The sequence below is a fragment of the Homo sapiens genome, chromosome 1, assembly GCF_000001405.40.
Source record: "Homo sapiens chromosome 1, GRCh38.p14 Primary Assembly".
Taxonomy (NCBI): Eukaryota; Metazoa; Chordata; class Mammalia; order Primates; family Hominidae; genus Homo; species Homo sapiens.
The window spans coordinates 201,399,227-201,423,991 of record NC_000001.11 but is presented as its reverse complement, the minus strand read 5'-3'; the positions used below and the strand labels follow the sequence as shown (position 1 = coordinate 201,423,991).

Here is a 24,765-nt window from a genome sequence, read left to right as displayed (position 1 = left end):
AAGATGGGGGTCAGGGGCAAGGACAACAGGGCACTGCATTCTTGCTTTTGAAGGCCACCTTTGAGAGACTGCAGGAGAGAGACGCTAAAGAAGTCAGTGTGTGAACTGGGGTCAAAGGTCAGGGTGGATCTGAGAGGGTGAGCTGGAGGCTGGATTCCACATGGTGTGCAGGGATGGTGGGGATGGAATTGGGACACTGGGGTGAGGGGTCCTGGTCCCATGCTGTCCAACAGAGTGTGAAGATGAATCACTCCGAGTCTGAGATTCTCCATGGCTCCTGCCCAGGGAGGGCCCCTGGCTGCACTATGTTCTCCACGTCTTGCTGCGGACATCCGGCCACCTACTTTCTTGGCTTTTGTTCACCCTGCTTTGTTCTTCTATTTGTCGAACTGTCTTCTTTTGTTTTTCCTTTTCAAAAAGCAGGATAATTCATGCAGAGAATTCATTTTTTGAGAATATCAAGGCCTTTTAAGAAAGTTATTGTATAGGCTGGTCATGGTAGCTCATGTCTGTAATCCCAGCACTTTGGGAGGCCGAGGCAGGTGCGTTGCTCAAGGCCAAGAGTTTGAGACTAGCCTGACCAACATGGTAAAACCCCATCTCTACTAAAAATATAAAAAATAGCCAGGCATGGTGGCGTGCCTGTAGTCCCAGCTACTCAGGAGGCTGAGGCAGGAGAATCACTTGAACCCGGGAGGTGGAGGTTGCAGTGAGCCACTGTACTCCAGCCTGGGTGACAGAGCCCCTGTACTCCAGCCTGGGTGACAGAGTGAGACTCTGTCTCCAAAAGTATATAAATAAATAAATAAATAAATGGAAAGTTATTGTATAAATTATAATAAGCCAAGGCAATAAACTCCAGTAGGCTCATCTGCAAAGCCCCTAAATTCCTTCTCCCCTCTAGCTGCTCCTTTTGGCTGGAGCCTGCCTTCATTATCCATCACAGCCTCTCCACTTGGAATCCTATGTCCCCAACCCCTATGCCTCCCCAGACCCTGTCATTTCTCCCTGGCAGCCGTCTCACATAGAGGCTTCTCAAAGTTGACCCGACCAGAACAGAATTAGAGCAACCTCTATTAGGCAGCAGAATGTCGTTGTAGAGAGGGCAGGGCCTTTACCTCTGTGGGCACTGGGGTGTGTCTCCTTAGGACACCCCTGCCCATTACTCTCTCCTTCTCCAAATGGGGAGCATGGCTGGGGCTCCCTAACCTCCTGCTTGCGAGGCCTCTCTCTGGCCTCTGAGAGGGTCAGTGTCCTGCCCCAACCCATGAGATGACAGACTATAATAGCCACAGGATTAACATAGCAGGCATTGTCTTTCTCTGACTATAGGGTGGGTATTATGTGTTCATCAACCATCCTAAAAATACCCGGTAAACAGGTGCAGCCCCTGTGGCTCCAGTCCCCTGGGATCTGTTGGCTTCTGGCTGGAGATGAAGATTAGGGCAGAGGAGAGGTGAATTAGTCTCACTGAGTTCCAGGCATGAGACTCGGGTGTCCTTTGGAACCTGGGAAATCTAGATTCCAGGAAACCCATCTGGAGGGGGATGCAGAGTGTCTGCAGACCCTCAGACCTCCCTGAGCATAAAGGTGTGCCCTGCTGCCACTGCCATTCTGCTCAGCCCTGGAAACACTCACTGGGGTCAGCCTGCAACACTGCTCACATCACTCCCCACAGCCAGGCACCCTCGTATCCCACGTGCACCAGAGCCACTGAAAAATCCCTGAAAGCTGAGTCTTTAGCCCTCTTGGGCTTTTGGGGCATGGGTTCAGGGGCCTCATTTCCATATTGCCTTATAAGAGATGCAGGGTTAGCCCAATGGTCCTCTTCCCCCAGCTGCTACTTGCCCCTCTGGGCCTTCACTGTGGCCCTTTGCTCTCCCTCATTCCCCCTCCCAGTCCCATCTCTGCTCAGTCCCCACACCTGGTCTGGCTGCTCATTCTTTCCCTTTCTGCAGCTCGAGTCTCCCCAGGTGGGTGCTGGTTTCACTCAGTTGGTGGCACCTATGTGCACAGAATTTGCCTCTGCTCCTGAGCCACAAATTCACATGGCTTTCCGCCTATGTGCCTGTTGTGTGCATTGCAGCACGCATCTGCCCTGTGAGGTGTGTGTGTGTGTGTGTGTGTGTGTGTGTGTGTGTGTGTGTGTGAAGGGTGGGAGGGAGGAGGGGCAGCAGGAGGGGGCAGTGGGTCTGTTCTATTTTTACCAGCCAGTTGCTGCTGGACACAGTTTTCATAGCCTCCCCTCGGCTCTGCCCCTCACAGTCTGCAGTCTACGGCGAGGCACAGGCCAGCCCAGCTCCACGAGGACTGAACAAGGTAAGCGTCTGCAGCCCAGAACTTCAGATGTAGGTTGATCCCAGGCAGAGAACCTGGGGCTTTTGTTTAAGGAGAAAGCGAGGTCTTGGAGCTGGAGAAAACCATTTCTTGCCTGTGCAGTTGGTTTGTTGGTAGAACATTCCTAAAATACTCCCACAGCATTTTGTCCCACAGAATGGCATCTCTCCTGCAAAACTGTTGTGAGAGGTGAAACTTTTTCCTGGCCATTTGGAGGCTGTGAGCAAGGAGCAGAATCTTCCGTGAGGTTCCTTAGGAGCCCCAGGGCAGAGCCTAAGGGATGATGTTTTCACACAGGATGCCCAGCAGAGTGTGGGAGGGAGAGCGCACCCAGGGGAAGGGGTGGCCCTGGGATCAGAGAGCCAGGGTGAGTGCTCAAAGTCAGCAATGCCTGCAGCGGAAGAGAAGGAGGGTGCCTGACGCGCAGGACTCCCAGGGAGCCTAGAAGGCAGGGCCAGAGCTCCCTGCTGGCCAAGGAAACCATCTTGCTTCTGTGTTCTTTGTCTCTGAGCGACGCTGTTAGCTCCCTTTGCCTATCCCTCTGTAGTGTAGCACAAGAGCAGAGGAGGGCAGACCGGCAACCCCTCTTGACTGCTCCTGCTCAGAGCTCCTGGCTCTGAGAAGCAGCAGTAGATACTGGGGGTCCTCTTGGAGGAAGGCAATGGTGGCGGCATTTTGGGTTGGGGCACAGGAGCCAGTGAACACATAAGCCAGGGCAGTATCTACAGGGTAACCCAAGGCTTGGGGCAGGGGGCCGTGTGGCGGTCCCTGACTCAGGTGGGGGCTGAAGGCAGCACCTGCCACCAGGTTTGGGAGTCACAGTCCCACAGCAGCTCTGAGATTAGGCTTTGCTGTTCAGAACTCAAGATGGGGGCAGCCCAGCGCCATGCACTTGGGAGTGTTAACCGTCAGTCAAGGAAGACAGGGATGCCCTTGAATGGGGGTCCAAGGTCAGGGGGCGGGGAGCAGGGGGAAGCACATGAGCCTAACTAGATACTTGTGGACGTGATCATTGGGTGTGCAAAGAGATCAGTTCTTTCCCCTACATATACACGCTCTCTCTCTCACACTCACACTCTCACACACAGTCACTTACACACACTTACACACACAGACTCAATCTCATAGTCTAGCGGATAGTCCCTTCCACGCTGCAAAGCCTCAAGGAAGGGAAAGCCCAGCTCTGAGGCAACCACCAGAGACTCTTTGCTCCCCCCCTCGGGGGGAGGATTTTCTCATTATCTCCTTGCTTGCTACTTGTAGAGGAGATGGAATCCTGGCTCTCCAAGCCTTCCAGTGGCTGCTATCTTCATCCTGACTTATCAGTCCTCGCTTGTCTTCCACAGAGCCTGGCAAGGGCCCCCGTCTGAGGGGTGTCAGAGCACAGGCTGAGGCCTCTTGCCTGACGTGGGACCCCTTGGTCTGGCATTTGTCAGTGAGGCAGGCTGGGGGCAGGCCCCGGAGCTTGGCAGGAGGTGTAAACCGGCCTTGGAAGGTAGGGCCCCACAATGGGGACAGTTGGATCTCTGAGGGAGACAGGGAGGCATGATCACTGCCAAATGCCCACCAAGGACAAGGCACATCCCAGGGAGACAGACGCAGACCTGGTGCCCTCTGGACACTGGCATTCCTGGAGGCTGATGATGGACAGATGGGCCTGGAGGTGGCTCTTCGCCAGCTGGTGTTTCCTTTGGACTTCCTCAGTGTCTTTGGAGAAGCAGAGCCCTAAGAATAAGCAGCTGCCCATAAAATCTAATACCAGCCAAGCATCTCAGGAATTCATGGATTGTCTCCATACCCCTCCCTCTGTGCCCCAGCATGACAGCTGAGACTCTGGGGTCACACTACACCTCCACCTCCTCCACCCCAGCCTTACCCTCCCCTGGTGGCGGAGGCAGAGGTGGAGGGAGGCCCAGAAGGCTTTCTGACCCGTTGGGAGATTCAGGGGAGGTGGCCAAAGCTGTGTTCATTGGGGTTGGGATAGTGCTTCATGGGCACAAAGGGAAAGGAGAGAATTAGGGCAGAGGAAGGGGTGGCTCTGGGATACAATTATTGGCAGGCACTTTACAAGTGTCTTTTAATTCCCCACTTCCCAGACCCCACAACAAGGTTCTTGAACCAAGTCCAAACTCCTGCCCCCGAGCTCCATGCCTGCCCACTCCACACACACTAGGCTCTCCCATCCTTCATTTCACAGCCTGGCTCAGGGCTCCTGTGCGCCCCTGCACACCTGCTCTCCACCTCAGCTGTCCCCTTCCTTTCCCTGAGCTTTTGCACAGTTCCTCCCTTCCCCTGCATTGGAATGCCCTGTGTCCAGGCCCAGGCAAGACGGTGAATTATGTCTGGTTTTGGAACATCTCCCTCTGCAGCCTCACGGACCCCCTCTTTGGCCTGGGCCCCAGGATCACCTGGTCAGGGGGCTTCAAATTGTATTCCACAGCCAAGTGTCCTCACAGAAGACCAGAGGGCTGCTATGGGAGCCCCCTTCAACCAGTGCCATTTGGCTCTTTTTGTTTGTTTGACTTTTTTTTAAGTTCGGGGTACATGTGCAGGATGTGTGGGTTCGTTACACAGGTAAACATGTGTCATGGAGGTTTGTTGTATCAATTATTTCATCACTCAGGTATGAGAGACGTACCCATTAGTTATTTTTCCTGATCCTCTCCCTCCTCCCACCCTCCACCTTCTGATAGGCAAAATGCCATTTTGCTTTTACTGATTGAATTTATTTTACTTCCAAGTAAGATTTGGTTAGGACAAAGGATTCAACCAAATAATATTAATTAAATATTATTTTAATTACTTATTATTAATAATAAACATCAAGAGGAAACTCACTGATTTAACCCCTAATTTTGCAGAGAGGAAAACCAACCCAGAGAGGGGAAAGACAGACTAGGGTGAACACGGGATTTGCCCTGCCTTGCGGCTTATTCTCTCCCACTCAAGGCCTCCCACTGCCCCACCCTGGAGGTGCCAGTTGCATTGCCATCTGTGGATGGAGTTGTGCCATGTGGCAGCTACCCGTTTTCCAGCATCCACTCTGCTCATTCACTTTCTAGGCCTTCCTCTCTCTGAGCCCTTCAATGACCACCCTTATTCCACAGGATAAAGTCTAAACTCAGCCTGTCCTTCAAGGCCCTCATGAGTGAGCTACACTCTCACTTATTTTTTTTTTTTTTTTTTTGAGAAGGAGACTCATTCTGTTACCCAGGCTGGAGTGCAGTGGTGCGATCTCGGCTCACTGTAACCTCCGCCTCCTGGGTTCAAGCAATTCTTCTGCCTCAGCCTCCTGAGTAGCTGGGACTATAGGCGTGCACCACCATGCTGGCTAATTTTTGTATCATTAGTAGAGACGGGGTTTGACCATATTGGCCAGGCTGGTCTTGAACTCCTTACCTCATGAACTGCCCGCCTTGGCCTCCCAAAGTGCTGGGATTACAGGCATGAGCCACTGCGCCCAGCTGCTCTCACTTTCCAAACATATTTCCTATGGACTCCATTCTGTTCTCCACTGGGATTGGCAAGCTTTATCTGGAAAGGGCCAGATAGCTTTGTAGCTCACATAAGGTTTCTGTTGCAAATTCTTAAAAAAAAAAAAAAAAAAAAAGCTTACAATTCTTTAAGCAAAAACAGGCTGGGAGCCAGGTCAGGCTTATGGGCTGTAGTTAGCTGACCCCTGCCCTGCAACCCTGTCCCATCTTGACCTGCTGGAATCCAATGTGTCTGATTTCTTCCTTTTGTGTTCTGACTCTGTCTCCTAGGCTGGGCTCCCAAGGCCCAGCTGGGCAGGGGCAGGGGTTTCCACTTTCCCTTATGAATGATTCCTCTGTGCCCCCTAGGTGCTGTCTCACTGCCACCATGCCGGAAGTGTAAGTAGTCTCACTGCCATCTGGGGCCCCAGGAAGGCAAGTCCCTTTGCCACAGACTTCAGCCCCGCAGTGGAGGCACCATGTTTTCAACCCCCAAAGCTTTTCCCTAAGAGACCAGGTCCTCAAACAGGGGCAGCACTTGATGGTTTCCCCTGTGCTGCCTGTGTCCTCCCAGCCATTGAGCAGAACTCACTCCCAGGTTGCCCTGGGAGTGCCTTTTTGGCTTGTGCCTCAGAGATTTCCTGTCTTGATCTATCACATGAATTGCATGTACCAGGCCACCACTTAACACTGGTGCAGTAGGTGAACAAAGCTTTGGGAATTTACCCACGCACCCGTGGATGGATGCTTTCACGTTGCTGGAACCCTACGCTAAGGCTTCCCTCCCCTTCCACCACTTGTCCCCAACTTACGATGCCCAGTACCTCCCAATAAGAATGCCCCGTAGTTCAAAGGGCTGTTGAATTTTTATTTTATTCTGCCGGAACCTCAAACCGCTCCCCTTGCCTGATGCCTGATGACTTTCTGGCTCACTGTTGTCACTGGCCCCCTCCTCCCCCAAGCTGGTCTGTGAGGTTCTGCGACTGCACATGTAATCCTCATTGTTCATACTCACTCTGTGTTCTGCTCTTTCCCCGTCCTTCCTGTGATGGATGCCTGAAGCGAGGTAAGTGATATTTGGGGTATCTCTGTCTTGGTTAACTCTAACGACTGGTAAAAGTGGGAAGGTGGGGTTGGCATCTGAGGAGAGGGAAGAGCCTGTGTTAAGGCCTGGTGGGAGTCCAGGGGGTGTAGGGTATTTAGTGGCTGAACAAATTCCCAGGAGATGGAAACGTCAGGTGAAGATTCTGGATGTGGGGCTTCCTAGTGTCCAGGGAGTTGCTGTGCCAGTGTACCATGTCACTGGAAGGACTGGTATTGCAGCAGGGTTGGGTGTGACTCTGCATCCTTGCTGAGCACAAGCTCTTCCTCACCCACTCTGAGAGCTGGTCCAGTCCTGGGGGGACCATCCTATTCCATGCAGAGCTGATCCTGTGCAAAGCTATATTGGAAGGGTAAGGGATAGTCATTGGGTTATTCCACCCTTGCCCAATGGCTGAACATTGATTGAGGAGCAAAGAGATGTCCTTAAATCCCTCAGGTGTTAGAAAACCCTGACACTGGCCATTCTATACACTCCAGACTTACCAGGCTACTGAGATCACAGCCTATGTACAGTCCAAGGATGGGGATGGCAGGGATAGGGATGTGGGCCCAGGGATGGAAACAGTGAGAATTAGCAGTATTGATGGAGGGGATATTTGGCACAGAGATTCTCAGTAAGAATTGAACATGTTACTTTTCAACATTCATATGAATTTTTAAGTTTTGCTGAGGCTCGTATTAAAGTGAGTCCTCACTGACTGATGGTCAAATGAGGTGGCCATCGGCTCACCAAGTGGTGGGGAAATAAGATCGCAGTCAAACATTTGCCATGTGTACATTACAGTGTGTAAACCATGGTAGTAATGCTTAGAGTCATAGGCTCTTTCTTTTGAAATTGCACTTATCTGAAATGTAACAAAAATCTTTAGGAGAGGAAAAGACAAACCAACCACTCTGAACAGTCAGAATAGAAGTTACACATTCCATTTGCTGAAACTCATCCATTGTCTCTCATGAGAACTTCCCTCTCAAAGCCTAATCACTTCTACTTGACACCCTGGAATAACATTTGAGAGCCATGCTCTGCCGGCTCACAGCACATTAAGTCTAGGTAGGATGCTTCCTGCTGGCAATGAGAAGTGACCGCCTATGGCCCAGAAGATACTCTAGTGCTCGAAAGGCATCACAGTCTCATTAGTTGGGGACCAAGCAGCCCTACTACTCACCTTTGCCAACCCTGAGGGACCACTGTCACAGGGCTAGGACTAGTAAGCAAGAACATGTTTAGGATTTTTGATAAGAAGATAAAACAGTGGTTTTATATCTTAGAAAGATTTGTATGGGTGGTGTTAACATTTTTAAAAGTTTTGAGGTCTACATAGATACGTTTCATTTATTTGGGAAATTCACAGCTTATTTATGCAGCATGACGGATCATCAAGGTATTGCTGTATTACTACCTGGAGTGTGAAAACACATAGCTTTTACGATTTTCAAAGGATTTGCACATCCATGATCTCATTTCATCTGCAATAACTCTGTGAACTAAGTAAGGGGGGGGGTCCTAATATCCTTATTTACAGATGAGGAAGGAGGTGCCTGTAGAAGCCATGTGGCCCTCATAGTATCTTACAAGATTTCAGCAGCAGCAGAATCAGAGTGGGAAGTTAAGGCTTCAGCCCCTAGGTCAAGGTAGCTGACTGCAGCCTTCTCTGAACTGCAGAGGTTAAATAACAAAGATGAGCTTTTAAGGCACCGTAGGGTGAGCAGAGGATTCCGGATAAAGATAGAGAACGCTGGCTGGCACTTGTCTTGTCCTAGACCAGAATTCCAGTTCTGCAGCCTCTGCCTCACCACCTGTCTCTCTCTCTTCTTGCCCACAGAGAAAACCCAAGATCACTGCCTCCCGCAAACTCTTGCTGAAGGTGAGGCTGGGGGCTGGCTGTGGGGGGATGCCCAGTGGGAGGCAGAGGGGCAGCAGAGCAGACTCTGAAGGGATGTGGAGGATTATGGCAAGGAGAAAGGAAGGAGGCCAGAGTGAGGATGATGAGGGGCAGGAGTCCAGCATTGCTGGAGCCAGTGCCAGGCTCAGGTGATCAGTAGGTGGGATCCTCGAGTATGGATTCTGGCATCCGCCTGTGGTCCCTAGAGTAGGTGGTGACCAGCTTCAGAGTGGGAAGCTACTCATGCAGGCAGAGGGACTTCCTTTATTTTCATATGTGTTTCTCTCTTTGGAGTTTTGTGGGTCAAAACAGACAGTAAGTGGATAAGAGGAAGACTGTCCGGGGAAAACAAGTTCCAGGGCTTGAGGAACATTGTGTGCAGCCACTGGGTGTACCCTCATGGTGGCCTGTCCATGGCTGCTGCATACACTTCTACACTGGACAGTGGTCTCAGAGTTGGCCCAGGCTGTGGCTGCCCTCCCCTCATTCCCTGATGCCGGGTGGGAGATGTGAGGCCCCCAGCTCAGCAGGTGTGTCCTGTCCAGAGCCTGATGCTGGCCAAGGCCAAGGAATGCTGGGAGCAGGAGCACGAGGAGCGCGAGGCTGAGAAGGTGCGCTACCTGGCAGAGCGCATCCCCACGCTGCAGACCCGTGGCCTGTCCCTCAGTGCCCTGCAGGTTAGCCTGGCAGGTGGGGCGGGGCAGGGTGGGGCTGGAGGTGCTGTGTGGGTGGCTCCAAGGACCAGGCGGCAGGAGCCTGAACTAACACCAGCTCAAGGCTCCATAATTTACAGGGCACTCCTCCCTTACATGGTCTCATTTAATCTTCACAACCACCTGTGAGGTGGGAACATTAGATTCCATTTTACGGGCACTGAACTGAGCATCAGAGGGGAGGCGTGACTTGCCTGGGCTGGGCGGCCCAGCTTCACAATCAGCCAGTGTGGTGGCATGGAGTGGGGAGGCGGCCGGGGTTGGGAGAAGCCCCACTTTTCCAAGGACTTGTCTACCCTTTCCTAGAATTTGGTCTTCAATGTTTTCAGAACACTGGTAAATTGGTTAAATGCCAGTGATTATAGAGAAAAGAGACTGGAAGGAAGTATATCAAAATGTTACTAAGTATCCCTGGGTGGTGGCATCACTAGGTATTTTAATTTTTATTATTTTTGTTTAATACATAGTTTTCAAAATGTCTAAAATTAACGCATTACTTTTATCATAAGAAAACTATTTTATTTTGCTGGGCACAGTGGCTCATGCCTGTAATCCCAGCATTTTGAAAGGCGGAGGCAGGAGGATTACTTGAACCCAGGAGTTCGAGACCAGCCTGGGCAACATAGTGTGAGACCTTTTCTTTATACAAAGTTTAAAAAAATGAGATGGGAGGGTCACTTGAGCCCAGGAGGTTGAGGCTGCAATGAGCCATGATGAAAGAATACTTTTTTTTTTTTGAGGCAGAGTCTCATTCTGTTGCCCAGGCTGGAGTGCAGTGGCGTGATCTTGGCTCACTGCAACCTCTGTGTCCCAGATTCAAGTGATTCTCCTGTCTCAATCTACTAAGTAGCTAGGACTACAGGTGCACACCACCATGCCTGGCTAATTTTTGTATTTTTAGTAGAGACAGGGTTTCACCACATTGGTCAGGCTGGTCTTGAACTCCTGACCTCAGGTGATCCCCCACCTTGGCCTCCCAAAGTGCTGGGATTACAGGGATGAGCCACCGTGCCCAGCCAAGGATACTAGTTTTTTGTTTGTTTGTTTGTTTTTTTGAGACGGAGTCTCGCTCTGTCACCAGGCTGGAGTGCAGTGGTGTGATCTCAGCTCACTGCAACCTCCGCCTCCTGGGTTCAAGCGAAGGAATACTATTTTTTAAGAAATCATGACATTCAGACAGGAGAACAGAGGGCATACCCTTTGAGCTATTGCCCGTCATGAGCCTCAGAGTGGAGGAGACTGTCAGCTCCTCTCTGGATCCCAGGTCTTGCAAAGGGGCTGGGGAGAGGGTCAAGGGCTGGAAACTGATGTCTCTGTTCCCCTCTTCTTCACACCTGCATGATCCATCTGCGGCCCCCAGGACCTGTGCCGGGAGCTGCACGCCAAGGTGGAGGTGGTGGATGAGGAGCGATACGACATTGAGGCCAAATGCCTCCACAACACCAGGGAGGTGAGTCTAAGGAAGGGAAGGGGCATGGCCATAATGGGTTGGGCAGGGGCATGGGCACGGATGCAGCAGCCATGGGAGGTCCCCTCCTTCCACAGGGCCTAGGAAGGGGCCACTTAAGCAGGAAACTTTGGTTTGTCTGCCCTAGCCCCATAGGGCTGGAGATGGGTAGAGTGGATAATCACACATGAAAAGTACAAACTTCCTCCCTACCTGCCATGTGGGCTCATCAGCCTAACAGAAGCTGCTCTCTTTATCCACCCACACAAATAATCATATGCCTGTTAATAACGTCTTACCTTTGTGAAGTGCTTTCATGTTCGTTATAGCCTTTGATCCTCCTTATAGGCCTGTGGATGAAGTAGGGGCTATTATCTGCACCTTGCAGAGGAGAACACTCAGGATCAGAGAGGCCAAAGACTTGTCCTAGGTTGCACAGTGGTGGTCCTGGGACCAGTGCTGGTCTCTGGCTTCCACTCCGGTGCTCTGTGCTCCCTTAGCATGGGGTGTGGGAGGATTAGCTCCACCCAGACCCTGCTCCAGTGGGGAGGGGCAGAGCAGAGAAGGACAGGGCTCCTTTGGGGCATTTGTCCAGGCAGTGAGGAGGGGGCAGGGAGGGAGCACAAGCCACTTCTCTCCTTCCCACTTCTGCCCACCAGGAATTATATGTGGGGTCACCAAGCTCCTAAGAACTCCCCCTAGAGATCACACCCTGGGAATTCCTCCAGGGGTCTAGGACCTGTAAGTTTATCACCCTGCTGGACCAAGGCTGTGAGCTGCTTTGAAGGCTCACTGGGGAGGAATAAGTTAGAAGCAGGGATGAGGCTGCAGGAACAAGAGGAAGCAGCCCTGCACTCCAAATAGGGCTTCCAAATCAGACAAGTCTCAGTCTGGTGGAGCCGCCCCTTTTATTCAAGGCTATAGTGTTAGCAACGGCTAATAGGCTTTATCTGTCCACTTAACCATCCGTTTATCAGCAAATGTGCAGTGGTTATTTGCAAAGGGATGGGTGGGTCTGACTGTCCTAGAGCAGGGATCTCCAACTCTTGGGCTGTGGACCAGTACCTGTCCGTGGCCTGTTAGGAACTGGGCCACACTGCAGCAGGTGAGCAGTGGGCAAATGAGCATTCCCGCCTGAGCTCTGCCTCCTGTCAGATCAGCGGCGGCATTAGATTCTCACAGGAGTGTGAACCCTATTGTGAACTGTGCATGTGAGGGATCTAGGTTGCACGCTCCTTATGAGAATCAAACTCATGCCTGATGGTCTGAGGTGGAACAGTTTCATCCTGAAACCACCCCACCACCTCTCCGTGGAAAAAGTGTCTTCCACAAAACCGGTCCCTGGTGACAAAAAGGTTGGTGACTGCTGATAGGTCTGGCTTCAAGGGTGGACAATTTAAGGTGTATCTCTGGCTGGAACCCTAGCAGTCTGAGGTCCTCAGGAAGGGTGTCCTGTGGCTAGCTGCCTCTCCAGTGAGCCCCGGGCGCTTCTCACCTACAGATTAAGGACCTGAAGCTGAAGGTGATGGACCTCCGTGGGAAGTTCAAGCGCCCGCCCCTGCGTCGAGTCCGTGTCTCGGCTGACGCCATGCTCCGGGCCCTGCTGGGCTCCAAGCACAAGGTGTCCATGGATCTGCGGGCCAACCTCAAGTCTGTGAAGAAGGAAGACACAGAGAAGGTGAGGTCCCTTTCCTCAGAACATTCCACCCTCTGCCCTACCAGCTTTCCCCTTGTCAACCCCTCACATGGCCTCAGGCTGGCCCAGGAGCTCCTGTTGGAGACCAGTCAGCTTGACAGACAGAACATTCTAGAATGCTTTGGGAGACCAGTGTGGGAAGAAAGAAAGAAGATTTGCTCCCTTCCTTCAGGCTGTTCCCAGTCTGACGAAGAAACTAGGACATAAAGAAAGCTAGACCCCAGACGGAGAAATGAAGTAAAAATCTTGTTCCCAGTGTGAAGATAATGTGGAGATTTAGGGTAATGGTGGAGATGACTGCCTGGTCACCACAGGGAAAGGAGACAGCAGCTCATCTTGGTTATAGCCACACACGAGCATAGACATTAGAGAACTGAGTTCAACCACCCAGCAACAAATTATTCAAAGTTGGTTGAATTCACAGTATATGTGCCCCAAATTGATAGGCTCTGTAAGGAACAGGGATGAAGGAACAGTCTCTGGCCCAAGAAGCTTCAGAGGAGAAGAGATAAGCCAGACAATATACTGAGGAAATGGAAAAGCAGCCGCATTTGCAGGGGAAGACTTCTTGGAAGAGGTGGCCTTGAGCCTGCTGAGTGCCAGACCAGGAGGGTGGCATGGAGCCTTGGAGGAGGTTTTGCTGAGGTGCACTGAGGTGGGAACTAGCCCCATAGCTGCCACTTTCACCCAGTGCTCCCAAGCCACACAGCTTCCTTTTTCCTGTGGGGCCTCGGCTTGGCCTGTGTCCACCTGCCTGGCTGAGTCCTAGGACCTTACCAGCTGGGGAGGGGCATCAGGATTTCTTATCATCCGAGGAGACTGGTTTCCTATCACCCAGCTTCTCTTGAGCTGGGGGGCCGTCCAGCCTGGTAAGTCCCTGATGTGTGTGCCACTTGTCTACAGGAGCGGCCTGTGGAGGTGGGTGACTGGAGGAAGAACGTGGAGGCCATGTCTGGCATGGAAGGCCGGAAGAAGATGTTTGATGCCGCCAAGTCTCCGACCTCACAATAGAGGTACCTAGAGACCAGCTCCCTTCTCTGGGGTCCATCAGAGTCTAGAGGATAATGAGGGAGTCCACAATGGGCAGGCGGGTTGTACTTAGTGTGGTGCACGGATGCACGGACTAAGGCACCGATGAGACTGATTTGAGTCGGCTCTCCTGGGCTCAGTCCTGGCTCCAGCACCATGATACTTGGGCATGTCATTTCTGTTTGGCGGCCCTTTTTGTTCCCATTATCTATGAAATTGGGGGCTGTATCAAATCAGTGGTTCTCCAAGTGTGGTCCTGGGACCAGCAGCGTCTACATCACCTGGGATGCAAATGATCAGCCCCCACCCCAGATCCACTAAATTGGAAACTCTGGGGTGAGGCCAGCCTTCTAGGTGATTCTGATGCACATGAGAGTTTGAGAACCACTAGGTTAGAGGGTCCCTGGGATCCCTTCATCTCTGACTTTCTGAGAATCTATGCACTTTTAAATACCTCCTGGTGATGTCCTTTATTTGTGCTCCCTGCGAAGTACCCAGCACTCACAGTACCTGTTCCCAAGGAGCTACCACTCACAGAAGCTAAGACTTCCCACCATCTGAGGAAATAGCTGGAGAAACTGGGCAAAGCAAGGAAATCAGGCCACGTAAAACCCTCTACGGAAGTGCTGAGAGAATGTGCAATAGGGCAGGCATCCACCAGACAGCACTGGTCAGAGCAGGCTTTCTGGAGAGGAGGAGCTCTCTGAGGATGCGACGAGCGAGTGTTAGCTGATAAAGGGAAGGGCATGTTGAAGGGCTGATGGTGCAACAGAAGCATGGAGGTGGGAATTAAGCAGCCACAGAGTAGCATGGCAAGGCTAGGTAAGAGCTGAGGGCCGCAGTGTGGAGGAGCGGTGTGAGGGGTCCCAAAAGGGGAGCAACTGTGCCCGAGGGCCGAGAAGCTGAGGTTTTGTAGGAGCCCTTATGAATGAAGATCCAGTCCGGGGTGCGCTAGGGCTGAGAAGCCCTGGGGACTGCATGTGCTGTAGGTAAGTCAGGGATTCATGCGCTGCACACAGGTCCCCGGGAACTGATGGCTTTGCCTCTTTGTCCCTACAGGCCAGCTTGCTGTGCTGCGCTCTGAGCTCCTGCTTCATGCTTCTTCTCCAACCCAGCTCACTCACCTCTCTGCCTGTGTCTGGAGCATCCCTTCCCACCTCTCCCCCACTTCTTCCCTCCAGCCTGCATGCCCTCCTCTGGAACTGGGATTAAACAGATACCCAAGAGGCAGGAAAAACGCGAGTGTCTGAAGACCTCACCCTGGCAGGGTGGGCTTCTATCCACCCATGAGGCACCTGGGGCTTCTCAGCCACCCCGTGGTGTAACAAGTGGAGGAGGAGGAGGGGGTGAGAACACCTTTCCTCCAGCCCTGTGCCACACTCCTTCTATGTGTGTACAGTGTCCACAGGCATCACACCTTCTTCATTAAAAACCCAGTTTCCTGGTCATTTCTGCAGCTCTGACTGTGAGCCCTGAGAAGAAAGGGAAGACTTGGGGCTTGGGAAGAGAGGGCTGTGCTGGGCTCCAGTCACCCTGTCTGCAGTCCGGAGCTCGGGATCTGAAGGGAGGGCTAAGGAATTGGTGGCTGCTTGCCAGGGTCCCCTGGGGCCCCTTCTGCCCAGTCCCTGTGACGTCACACTGCACACACTCACCACCCAGGATGCTCAGCTCACCAGAGCCCTGACCTCCGAGAAATGACCCCGTCCTGCCCCTGACTCTGGCCATCAGAAGAGGCCTCTCCATTAAGAGCCGCTTCTCCTGCCGGCTTTCATACTCTCCTTCCTCTGCAAACCTGGATTAACTCTCCCTGATGTGTGCTGGGTTGAGAGGTCAGGGCACTTTCAATCCCTCACCTAGTCCTGCTGCACAGGGCAGGAGGCCTCACAGAAGAGATACTTGCAGTTCCAGGCCTGGCCACCAGGTGACGCCTTCCTTCTCTCCTGGGCTCTCCTGTCCCTCCGGCCTCTGCTCTCCCCACGTTCACCCACCCTCCTCCCAATTGTTTCCCCTTCACACTCCTGCACTGGTCCTATCCCCCAGGACTGATTCTTTCCCGGAGATGGGGTGGCCACTTATCTGTCCTCTGGATCAGGTCCTTTCTCCATCCCACTACCTCCTGGGTCCAAAGCCTGGTGAGAGCATAGGGCCTTCTGGGGTGGAAGGGGGGTCTGGGGCAGCCTCTCTTCCCCCAACATACTCACTAGAGTGGCTCCTGTGAAGCAGAGACCAAAGTTCTGACTTTTCTTTTTCCTTTTTTTTTTTTTTTTGAGATGGAGTCTCGCTGTGTCACCCAGGCTGGAGTGCAGTGACGCGATCTCGACTCACTGCAACCTCCGCCTCCCAGGTTCAAGCGATTCTCCTGCTTCAACCTCCTGAGTAGCTGGGATTACAGGTGCGTGCCACCACACCCCGCTAATTTTTGTATTTTTAGTAGAGACAGGGTTTCACCATGTTGGTCAGGCTGGTCTCGAACTCCTGACCTCGTAATCTGCCCACCTCGGCCTCCCAAAGTTCTGGGATTACAGGTGTGAGCGACCACATCCGGTCAAGTTCTGACTTTTCAGGGCAGTGGGATGGTGACTTCTGAGCTAAGCCTGCAAGGGAAGTGGCTGTTCCCAGACCTGGGGTCCCTTGGCTTTTCGACCACCCTAGCACTGGCCCTAGGAGGGGCTGAGTTATCAGAGCAGCAACCCTTCTACCCACCCTACTGAGTCCCCATTCTACCTTCGAATCCCATGTATTATCTTCCATAAGTGCCAGAAATTGGTACAAAGTGCAGTGCCAGCTGCTCCCCAGGGCATGGTCTGGCTCTCTGGGCTGCTGGGCTGCCAGCCCCTTTCAGAAAGCATGGCAGTGGGAACCAGCAACTTGGGCTACCTTAGGGGAAGCAGCACTCTGCCCAGGGTTCTTGCTATAAATAGGTCAGTGGGCAGAGAGGCAGATGTGTGCAAAAAGCACAACCCCAATCACACACAGAAACCCGTAGGCACGGACACACCCAGTCTCAATGCACGAAGTTGGAGAACCTGACAGGGCTGGTCCAGGCCACAGAGGATGGGGTTAGGCTTCATGCCTTCATGCCCAGGCAGCCACAGAAACCCACTCTTCCCCGCCTCACAGGGCTCCTCCGGTTGGCCTGGATCCAAAGCGATCTCCTTGTTTCACCTCTTTCCAGCTCTTCCCTAGAGCCTGGCCCCAAGTTCCAGAGTCAAATCCCAGTTTTGCAGTCAACTATTAACCTGGGGCCCTGGCAGATTGGGGTATCCACCCAGTCATGTAAAGGCAGGAGACCTGCTCTGGGCCTGACTCAAAGCAAACACGTGGGTGCAGAAGACCCATGGGAGGAGGAGGTGGGGCCCACTCAACACACCTAAGCCAGTGGCCCTCTAGGAGGGGCAGAAGAGCCAACCAGAGGGTTCCTGGAGGTCATCGGGTTCCTCCTTCTGCTTCCAGGCAGCAACAGACCTAATTCATCTCCTGTGAGGATGGAGCAAGGGCGAATATAGGCATAGACATATCTGGAGCGCAAGGATTGAGAGGCCCTGTGGACAAGGGGAAGGAGAGCTTGGGGGTGGGAGAGGGATCTATGGAAGGGGCTGTTGTAGCCAAGAATGGGGCCTGGGCTGGGGGCCTGGCCTCTGGAGAGCCCTGATTCTACTCCAGTCTTCTCTCACCATGGAGACAACACCAGTAGAGCTGGGAGCTGGGGCCTGCCACTGAGTAACAGCTCACACATGTAGCACACTTATGCGTCAGGCACCAGCATGTACACCTTAATTTATTTAACTTTCACAACAACCCTAGGAGAAAGGTACAGCTACTATTCTCATGGTACAGTGGGGAAAACTGAGGCACAGAGAGGTTAGGGACTTTTCATGATCACACAGCTAATAAGTGGTGGTCCCAGGATTCAACCCAAGAAGTCTGTTAGAATCCATACTCTTATCGACTATTTTAATAACAGCATTTCAATAATAGTAATATGTGATGTTAAATGCTTTATCTGAGTTATATCATTGCATTCTCACAAAAATGGTACATTTGTTAGCTCAAATTTACAGATGAGGAAATGGAGGCCTGGAGAGTTCAAGTAGCTCACTCTAAGTTACAGGGTTTGCTAGCTGCAGACTGGAGACTAGATCTCAGGTCACTCTGCCTTGGGGTTGCCCTTTTCTGAGATCAGACTGGCCTTAACAGAGCCCAACTTTCTTGGAAGGACACAGCTGGGGGTCGAGGGTCCTGCATATGCACCTGGGGAGTCCCCACACACCCGCACCAAAGGGGAAACATTCAAAGGAGATGCAGGTGACATACAGATGGGCTAAGGTGAGGCCTTCCTCCAACATGGGGCCCTGGCTGAGAGTGGAGGGATAGGGTGCTACTTGGGGGATATCTATTACTAATCAGCACACAATAGCTGGGTGGGCACCCCCTCTCTCTGCAGCTGGTGGAGATGGGCCTGGTGCTCCTCTCTGCTTGGTAGGAATGACCAGGGCAGGATGCCACCTGCTACACTCTTGCCTGTCCCAGAGCCCTTGGGAGACCAGCTGTTGCTCCCACCTTTCCCCACAGGGTGCCCGGTCCCCACGGCGCAAGGAGGCCAAGCTCAGCTGTGTGTCTGAGCCCACTCAGCAGCAGGCATGATCAGGGCAGGGCCCAGCGCTAAGGGCTGCTGGGGCTAAAGTGCCTTGCTGAAGGAGGGGCAGAGTTAAACATTAGCCACAATGGCCCCCCGCGAAGTGAGTCATACTCCCCACAAGTCTCTGGGCTGGGCAGCCGGGGGCGGGGGGGTTAGCTTCGTTCCAGGTGGGTGACCAAGCTGCGGAAGCCCAGGACAGTTCGCTGGGACCAGTGCTAATGGCAGCTTCTGCTCCTGACCCCCATCAGGTCTCTTTCCTCAGACATCCCCAAAGCTTGTCTGCCTGTGGGTCTTTCATTAAAGGTGACGGGCAAGGGTTTTCTCTTCCTTCCAAGACACACTTCTAGGCTGGCTTGTGGGTCCCCTGAGACGAAGGCTGAGCAGGGTGAGCCTCGAAAACCCCATAGCACTGGCCCAGAGCACTGCGGTCAATGTCCGAAGGACCAGAGAGGGAGGGTGACTTGCTCAAGGTCACAAACCTAACTGGAGCTAGGAAGTAGGTCCCCAGACTCCCAGTCTGAGGAAATTGGATGTGGACAGGGCTTTGGTCTCCTGGCCAGAGGCAAACGCCCAGGGATCTGAACAGGCTGCCCATCTCTGGCCTCAACTCAGCACCCCAACTGGCTCCAGTGCCAACCATTGGCCTCTCTCACTGGTTGGCACAGGCTGGGTGAGCCTGGCCCTTTGCCCTGGGTTCAGGAGAGAGGTATGGCTTTGCCTGGCAGTCAGGGGAGGTGTTCCAACCTGGGAGCCCCTGGGGGAGGAGCGTGTGTGTGAACGCTTGTGCCTGTTCATCAGAAGGGGTGAGCATGGTGTGTATGCGTGGGCATGCAGAATGCAGGGTGATGACCTGTCTGCCCGCCCTGAGTGTCACAGACACCTGTGTGTCCCCTGTACTAGTGCCTCCCAGATGCTCTTCTCCTGACTGGCTCTTTGTGACCTAAATTTCAACTGCTCCACCCCACAAGGAGGAAACCAGGGCCACAAATGTAGTGAGATTTTCATAAAGCTAAATGTATTCAGTGGAAACGACCTTCCTCTGATCTAAAAGCATGCATGCCTTTGTTTTATTACTGGAGTATTAAATTAGCCCTTACTTATGGAATAGGAGGACAGTAGGTGGCAATTGTTTTCTAATGCTCTTACTTCACAAAATAAAATGGTGGCAGCACAATGTCAGTATTTATATTACACAATATTATTAGTTTGTAAAAACCGAAAGCCAGGGAGCTTACTGCCCTGGATTCTTTAGGGCGTGGGTCTTATCACCTCATTCATTTCTTCCCTTCCCCTAAGAGTGCCACAAGCATGGCAGTTGCTCAGCTGAGACACATGAATGGGAACAGAACTGAAATATCAGGATGTGACCTCGAGCCAGCTGGTTGGGGCTGGGGATCCCCCTGGATCTCCACTCTGTCCTGTCCGAGAAAGGGGAAGCTGCCCTATGAGTCTTTTTTCTGGGGGATTCCAGAGGTTGAACGTCTGTTCTGAGGCTCCTCAGAACCTCGAGGGAGGGGACGAGAGAGATGACCCCTTGCCCAACCACTGGCTGAAAAATCTTGAAATTCCCTGACTTTGACCAGGGAATTCCCAGTTGTGCTAAGCCCTGCCTGGTGGAATGTCCCTGGAGGAAGTAACCAGGACACGCATACGTTTTTAATGTACGTATAAAGAATCGTAAAGTGAACACCCATCTGCCAACCACTCATTTTAAGAACTAGGATATGGCACATACTTTTGAAGCCCTTATGCGTCCCTCCCCAATCACAACCCCTTCCTCTCCACAAAGGTAAATACAATCCTCAATTTTGTGTTTGTTATTCTCTTGGTTCTCTTCATAATGTTACTACGTATTTATGAATTCCTAATACATCATTCAGTTTTGGATCTTTTTGTAAACCTTACTTAAGTGCATGCATTTTGCTTTTTCCCCTTCAATGTTAAGGTTGTAAATTCATCCCTATTGATAATTGTAGTTCATTCATTTTCACTGCCATGAAATGATGAAATGATGAAAACACCATTCATTCCCTTTCCTGCTGATAGACATTTAGATCTCTGCCACTACCAATTGTGCTGATTTGAATATTCATGAGTCTCACTTCTGATGCTCATGTTCAAGAGCTTCTCTACCCAGGAGTGCAACTGTTGGGTCGACAAGAATGACATCCCCACCTTTGCTAGTTGTACCACTTACACTCCCATCAACAACTATGACAGTTGCTGATGCTCCACATCCTGGTTTTGGCAGATCCTGGAGACCAGAGATCCTGGATACTTAACCTCACCTGATCTCAGCTTCTTCCTGACTCAGCTTCCAAATGTTACTCTTGGCAGGGGCTCTCAGGCTATTTGGGTTTTCCTGTTCTTTCCAAATCAAGTTAGTGCAATTCTCTAAACCTTTATTAAGCACCAACTCTGCCAGGCATAGTATTGAGGGGATACTGAGGCAAATAAGACATTCTTTTTCTTCTCAAGGCACCCACAAGATGCTTGGGGAGCCAGGGCATGGGCACAGATAACTTGAACTCCAACCTCGCTGCTCACAAGGAGTCATTCCCTCCTCCTTCCTACTCAGCAAGGGCCCTTGCATGCTATGGAAAACACAATGCAAAGCTGTCTCCTGAGCTCCCCCGCTCCAACACCCAACCATCTATTGGGCAGCTCCATCCGGCTGTCTTCAGGGATGTTAAATTCAAATGAGTAGAGGCCAAGGATGCTGGTGACCATCTCACAATGCACAGACAGCCCCCGACAAGGAATTATCAGGCTGAAATGGCCATAATGCTGAGGCTGAGAAACCCTCGGTGGTCTAAAGTCACCCCTCCCTAGATCTCCTGCTCTCACATCCCTGTCTCATCAATGGCATCTCATTCACCCAGTCCCTCCAGCAGGGAGATGGGAGTCACCTAGATTTCTCCTCCCTCACAAGCCGTAGTCAATCAACTCAGTCCTGGCCATCCAGCCTTCCAAAACTCCTGCCAACACCTTCTCCTCCCCATCCTCCTGGTGCCCTTGCTCAGGGCCTTCATTTCTTTTGTTGACTATAAAAAATAGCCCCCTAAGCTGTCTCCCTTCCAGTGTGATCTCTTGCCACACTGCCTCCAAACCCTTCTCATTTTCTATATTCAACTTAATTCTACAGGATAAAGGCTTTTTTTTTTTTTTGAGACAGAGTCTTGCTCTGTTGCCAAGGCTGGAGTGCAGTGCAGTTCAGTGGTGTGATCTTGGCACACTGCAATCTCTGCCTCCTAGGTTCAAGTGATTCTTTTGCCTCAGCCTCCCAAATAGCTGGGATTACAGATGTGTGCCACCACGCCCAGCTCATTTTTTGTATTTTTAGTAGAGATGGGGTTTTGCCATGTTGCCCAGGCTGGTCTTGAACTCCTGACCTCAAGTGATCTGCCCGCCTCAGCCTCCTAAAATGCTGGGATTACACGTGTGAGTCTCCATAACCGGCCAAGGCTGACTGACTCTTTAGCACAACACACAAAGTCCTTACTACCTGTCTCCAACCTTTCTTTTCAGCCTTGGAAGGGGCTCAATGCTTCACGCAGACTAGTCTTCTCTCTGTTCCACACACACCTTTCATGTTTATGTCCCAATGTCTTTGTTTATGCTGTGTCCTATAGCTGGATGCCCTTACACCCTTTCTGACAGTTGAATTCCACTTACCCTTCAAGGCCCAACTTAGATGTTCTTTCTTGTGTGAAGACTTCCCCAATCCCTCCTGATGACACAATTTCCATTTTTAATCACAGTCTGACTTGAATGAGGCTCGGGGTATATGTGTGCTTGTGTATGTGTGTGTGTTCACCAGCATGTGTTTGTCTTCACTGATAGACTGAGAATGTCCTGAGGTCAGGAACCGAGTCCTTATCATCTTTGTGTCACTGAATGTCAAAGCCACTTGTGATTATAGTGGGTAGAATGAATTATAATGGGTAGAACACATCCCAAAAAAGATGTGTTCAATTCATAACTTCTGGTACCTGTGAATGTGACCTCATTTGGAAATAGGGTATTTGCAGGCATAATCAAGCTAAAATGAGGTCATACTAAATTAGGGTGGAGGGATACTTGAACACAAACAAGAGACACAGGCAGAATGCTGTGTGACAAGAGAGGCAAATCTTGGAGTAATGCAGCTGTATGCCAAGGAGCTCTGGGAAGAAGCAAGGAAGGATTCTCCTCTGGAGCCTTTGGAGAGAGGCTGGCTGTGCTCACATCTTCATGGCAGACTTCTAACCTTCAGAACTGTGAGAGAGTAAACTTCTGTTGTTTAAAGCCATCCAGTTTGTGGCACTTCATCACGGGAGCCCCGGGAAATGGATGCACTGATCCAGCACCAAGTACAGTAGCTGGCACTTAGAAAGTATCCCATAAATGTACAGTGTCTGATCTCAAGGAACTTTCTGGGCATTGACATATATGTCATTCACTTTTCCTTACTTCTAGGGTTGTCTGCATACAAACTTTCCATGTCTTTGGGCTTTTATATCTGTAGAGAGGCTGTTAGATTTTGGGCTTTTAGAAACAGGACTGTTCCTGCCTTCGTGAAGTGTCCCTGGCATGACCAGGCTTCAGATGACTTCATAGGAGTATTTCTCTTCCTGTGTTGAGGTGTCAGCACTGACCAGCCATGGGAAGAACATTCAGTAGGTCCCTAGGGAGACAGCAGCTTCCCTGACAGTGTCAGGCCCCGGGTCAGAGGATCCAGGGACCTAGACTATTGGGGTCCCCTCTTTCTCTTTTCCTGTAAGCAGCATACAGCTCCAGGGCCTGCCTTGGCCTCTGTTCAGAACTCCCTGGAGCCTTGTCGATATTCATCTGTGCACTCCAATGTCACTAGCAGGGAACTCATATGATTTCCACAACCTGGAAGGAAGCAGAGCAAGGTATCGTAACATCCACTCCACAGATAAGGAAACTGAAGGAGTTTGTCCCAAGTCACACAGTTCACAAATGTCAGAATCAGAGCTCAAGTGTGCAAGTTACCAGTCCAGTTCTCATGTCCTGGACCTCGTCCCACCCTTGCCAAGAAGGAAGGCTCCCTGGAGGAGGGGGTACTTCGGGAGGGGGAATCTCAACAGGCTGGCTGTGTCTGTGTTTCCAGGCTTCTGCCCGGCAGCTAGCTTGCCCTTTGCCGTGAGATCTCAGAGCTGGAAGGCCTGACATGAGCACCAAAGAGAGGCTGAGGCTGGGCAGCGAGGCCCAGGAGCATGAGGGCAGTTCTGGCTCTGGCTCAGGCTCCCTTTTGATATTCTCATCCTGGCGCTGGGGCTGTGCCTCCTTCCTCTCAGGGCAGGAACAGCAACTGTGCGCTGACCCTGCAGTTCAGATCCATCAGGGAAGATAAGATTCCCCATGCTCAACGCCTGACCCTCTCTTAGCCCAAGCCCACCTGAGGCTGGTTCCTGGATAGAAAGCACCTGGCCCCGCACCAGCCCAGATGGGCACCTAAAGGGAGCCAGGTGGTGTCAGGGGTGCCTGAGCTGTCTCACGGTGCTCCAAAATTCGAGTCCTAGATATCTGTGTTTAATCTTTCCTTGGGGAAGAAAAACTGAGCTTCCTCTGCCCTTATTATACACCCTGCCACTCTAGCCCAAAGTCCAGTATCAGGGAGCAAGGACAGTGCCTTTGACATATTTGTGCTTTCACAAATGTTTGCTGAATTGAGTCTAAGATTCTCCCTTTGGGTGGGGCTGGGTCTACCAGGGGCATGTTTTGTGTGCAGCTCAGAAAGCAATGCCTCATTCATCTCAGCGAGGCCTACTGGGACGGTGGGCCCGGGTGGGTTCCGAAGCCAGGGAGTGGGGAGGGCGCTCCCTGCGAAGGGGCCCCGAAGGCGCGGGCGCTCTAGACCCGAGATCACAGTACCTGCGCTAACTTTTCCGCTCGGCTTCTTGCTCTTGAGCGTCTCCGGGCTAAGTCGGGTTCCCGGCAGGGGTCCCCGCCCCCAGCCCAGCTCCTCGGCACCCCGGGCCGCGGCACAGCGCGGGGAGGCGTCCCAGCGCCAAGCTGGTCGGACTGGTTCTGAGCAGGAAGTCTCCCGCCCTCGCCCCGGGCAGCCGACCAGCCCCACGCCGGCCCCGGGCGTCCGTCGTTCGGTCCCGCGATCCGTCCGACGGTCCACCCAGTGCTTGCGGCCTCGCGGCCGGGCCGGCCTGGGCTGCAATCAATGCGGCTTTGTCTGGGACGCCCACATCCCAGAGGCCATTCCCGGGTCGGCAAATCGGAGCGCGGCCGGGGCGCGCGGGGGTGAGATAAGCGGCCATGTGATCCCACCTGGGCTGGAAGGGGAGGGGCGCCAGGTGAGGCGGCGGCCGGCGGGGCGCGGGCGGCCACGCGGGGCTCCTGCAGCATGGCTGTCAGCAGGAAGGACTGGTCCGCGCTGTCCAGGTGAGCGCCGGAGGGAGCCGGGAGGGGCGGGGGGTCGGCGGG

The 24,765-nt window shown here is 52.3% G+C and overlaps 2 protein-coding genes and 1 long non-coding RNA gene across 3 annotated transcripts in view, besides 3 other annotated features; 2 read left to right on the top strand and 1 right to left on the bottom strand.

Moving 5' to 3' along the window:
* On the top strand, nucleotides 2,262–20,208 carry TNNI1 (troponin I1, slow skeletal type). Its single transcript, NM_003281.4, has 9 exons — nucleotides 2,262–2,319; nucleotides 6,180–6,209; nucleotides 6,873–6,876; nucleotides 8,738–8,779; nucleotides 9,343–9,474; nucleotides 10,871–10,960; nucleotides 12,459–12,635; nucleotides 13,557–13,666; nucleotides 14,742–20,208. The coding sequence occupies exons 2-8, from the start codon at nucleotides 6,199–6,201 to the stop codon at nucleotides 13,662–13,664; spliced, it is 564 nt and encodes a 187-aa protein (NP_003272.3). The 5' UTR covers nucleotides 2,262–2,319; nucleotides 6,180–6,198; the 3' UTR covers nucleotides 13,665–13,666; nucleotides 14,742–20,208.
* Nucleotides 15,641–15,720: an enhancer, noted in NCBI's record as "active region_2313". NCBI's record gives its function as "activates an Ori minimal core promoter by ATAC-STARR-seq in GM12878 lymphoblastoid cells {active_cell/tissue: GM12878}" and the evidence as "EXISTENCE:reporter gene assay evidence [ECO:0000049][PMID:35858748]".
* LOC101929343 (uncharacterized) lies at nucleotides 17,623–24,501 on the bottom strand. Its single transcript, XR_241172.3, has 2 exons — nucleotides 24,202–24,501; nucleotides 17,623–23,199 (listed from the first exon to the last, which is right to left on the bottom strand). It is a non-coding gene; the product is annotated as an uncharacterized LOC101929343 (long non-coding RNA).
* Nucleotides 19,684–19,733: an enhancer, noted in NCBI's record as "active region_2312". NCBI's record gives its function as "activates an Ori minimal core promoter by ATAC-STARR-seq in GM12878 lymphoblastoid cells {active_cell/tissue: GM12878}" and the evidence as "EXISTENCE:reporter gene assay evidence [ECO:0000049][PMID:35858748]".
* Nucleotides 24,310–24,765: part of an enhancer, noted in NCBI's record as "H3K27ac-H3K4me1 hESC enhancer chr1:201368148-201368810 (GRCh37/hg19 assembly coordinates)", that runs on past the window's edge. NCBI's record gives its function as "activates a minimal SCP1, AML or CMV promoter by ChIP-STARR-seq in primed H9 embryonic stem cells {active_cell/tissue: H9 hESC(primed)}" and the evidence as "EXISTENCE:reporter gene assay evidence [ECO:0000049][PMID:30033119]".
* Nucleotides 24,668–24,765, top strand: part of LAD1 (ladinin 1) — an 18,492-nt gene continuing 18,394 nt past the window's right edge. The window contains exon 1 of the mRNA NM_005558.4: nucleotides 24,668–24,723. Coding sequence (NP_005549.2) covers nucleotides 24,686–24,723 — 38 coding nt within the window. The 5' untranslated portion in view covers nucleotides 24,668–24,685. The remainder of the gene's footprint in view (nucleotides 24,724–24,765) is intronic.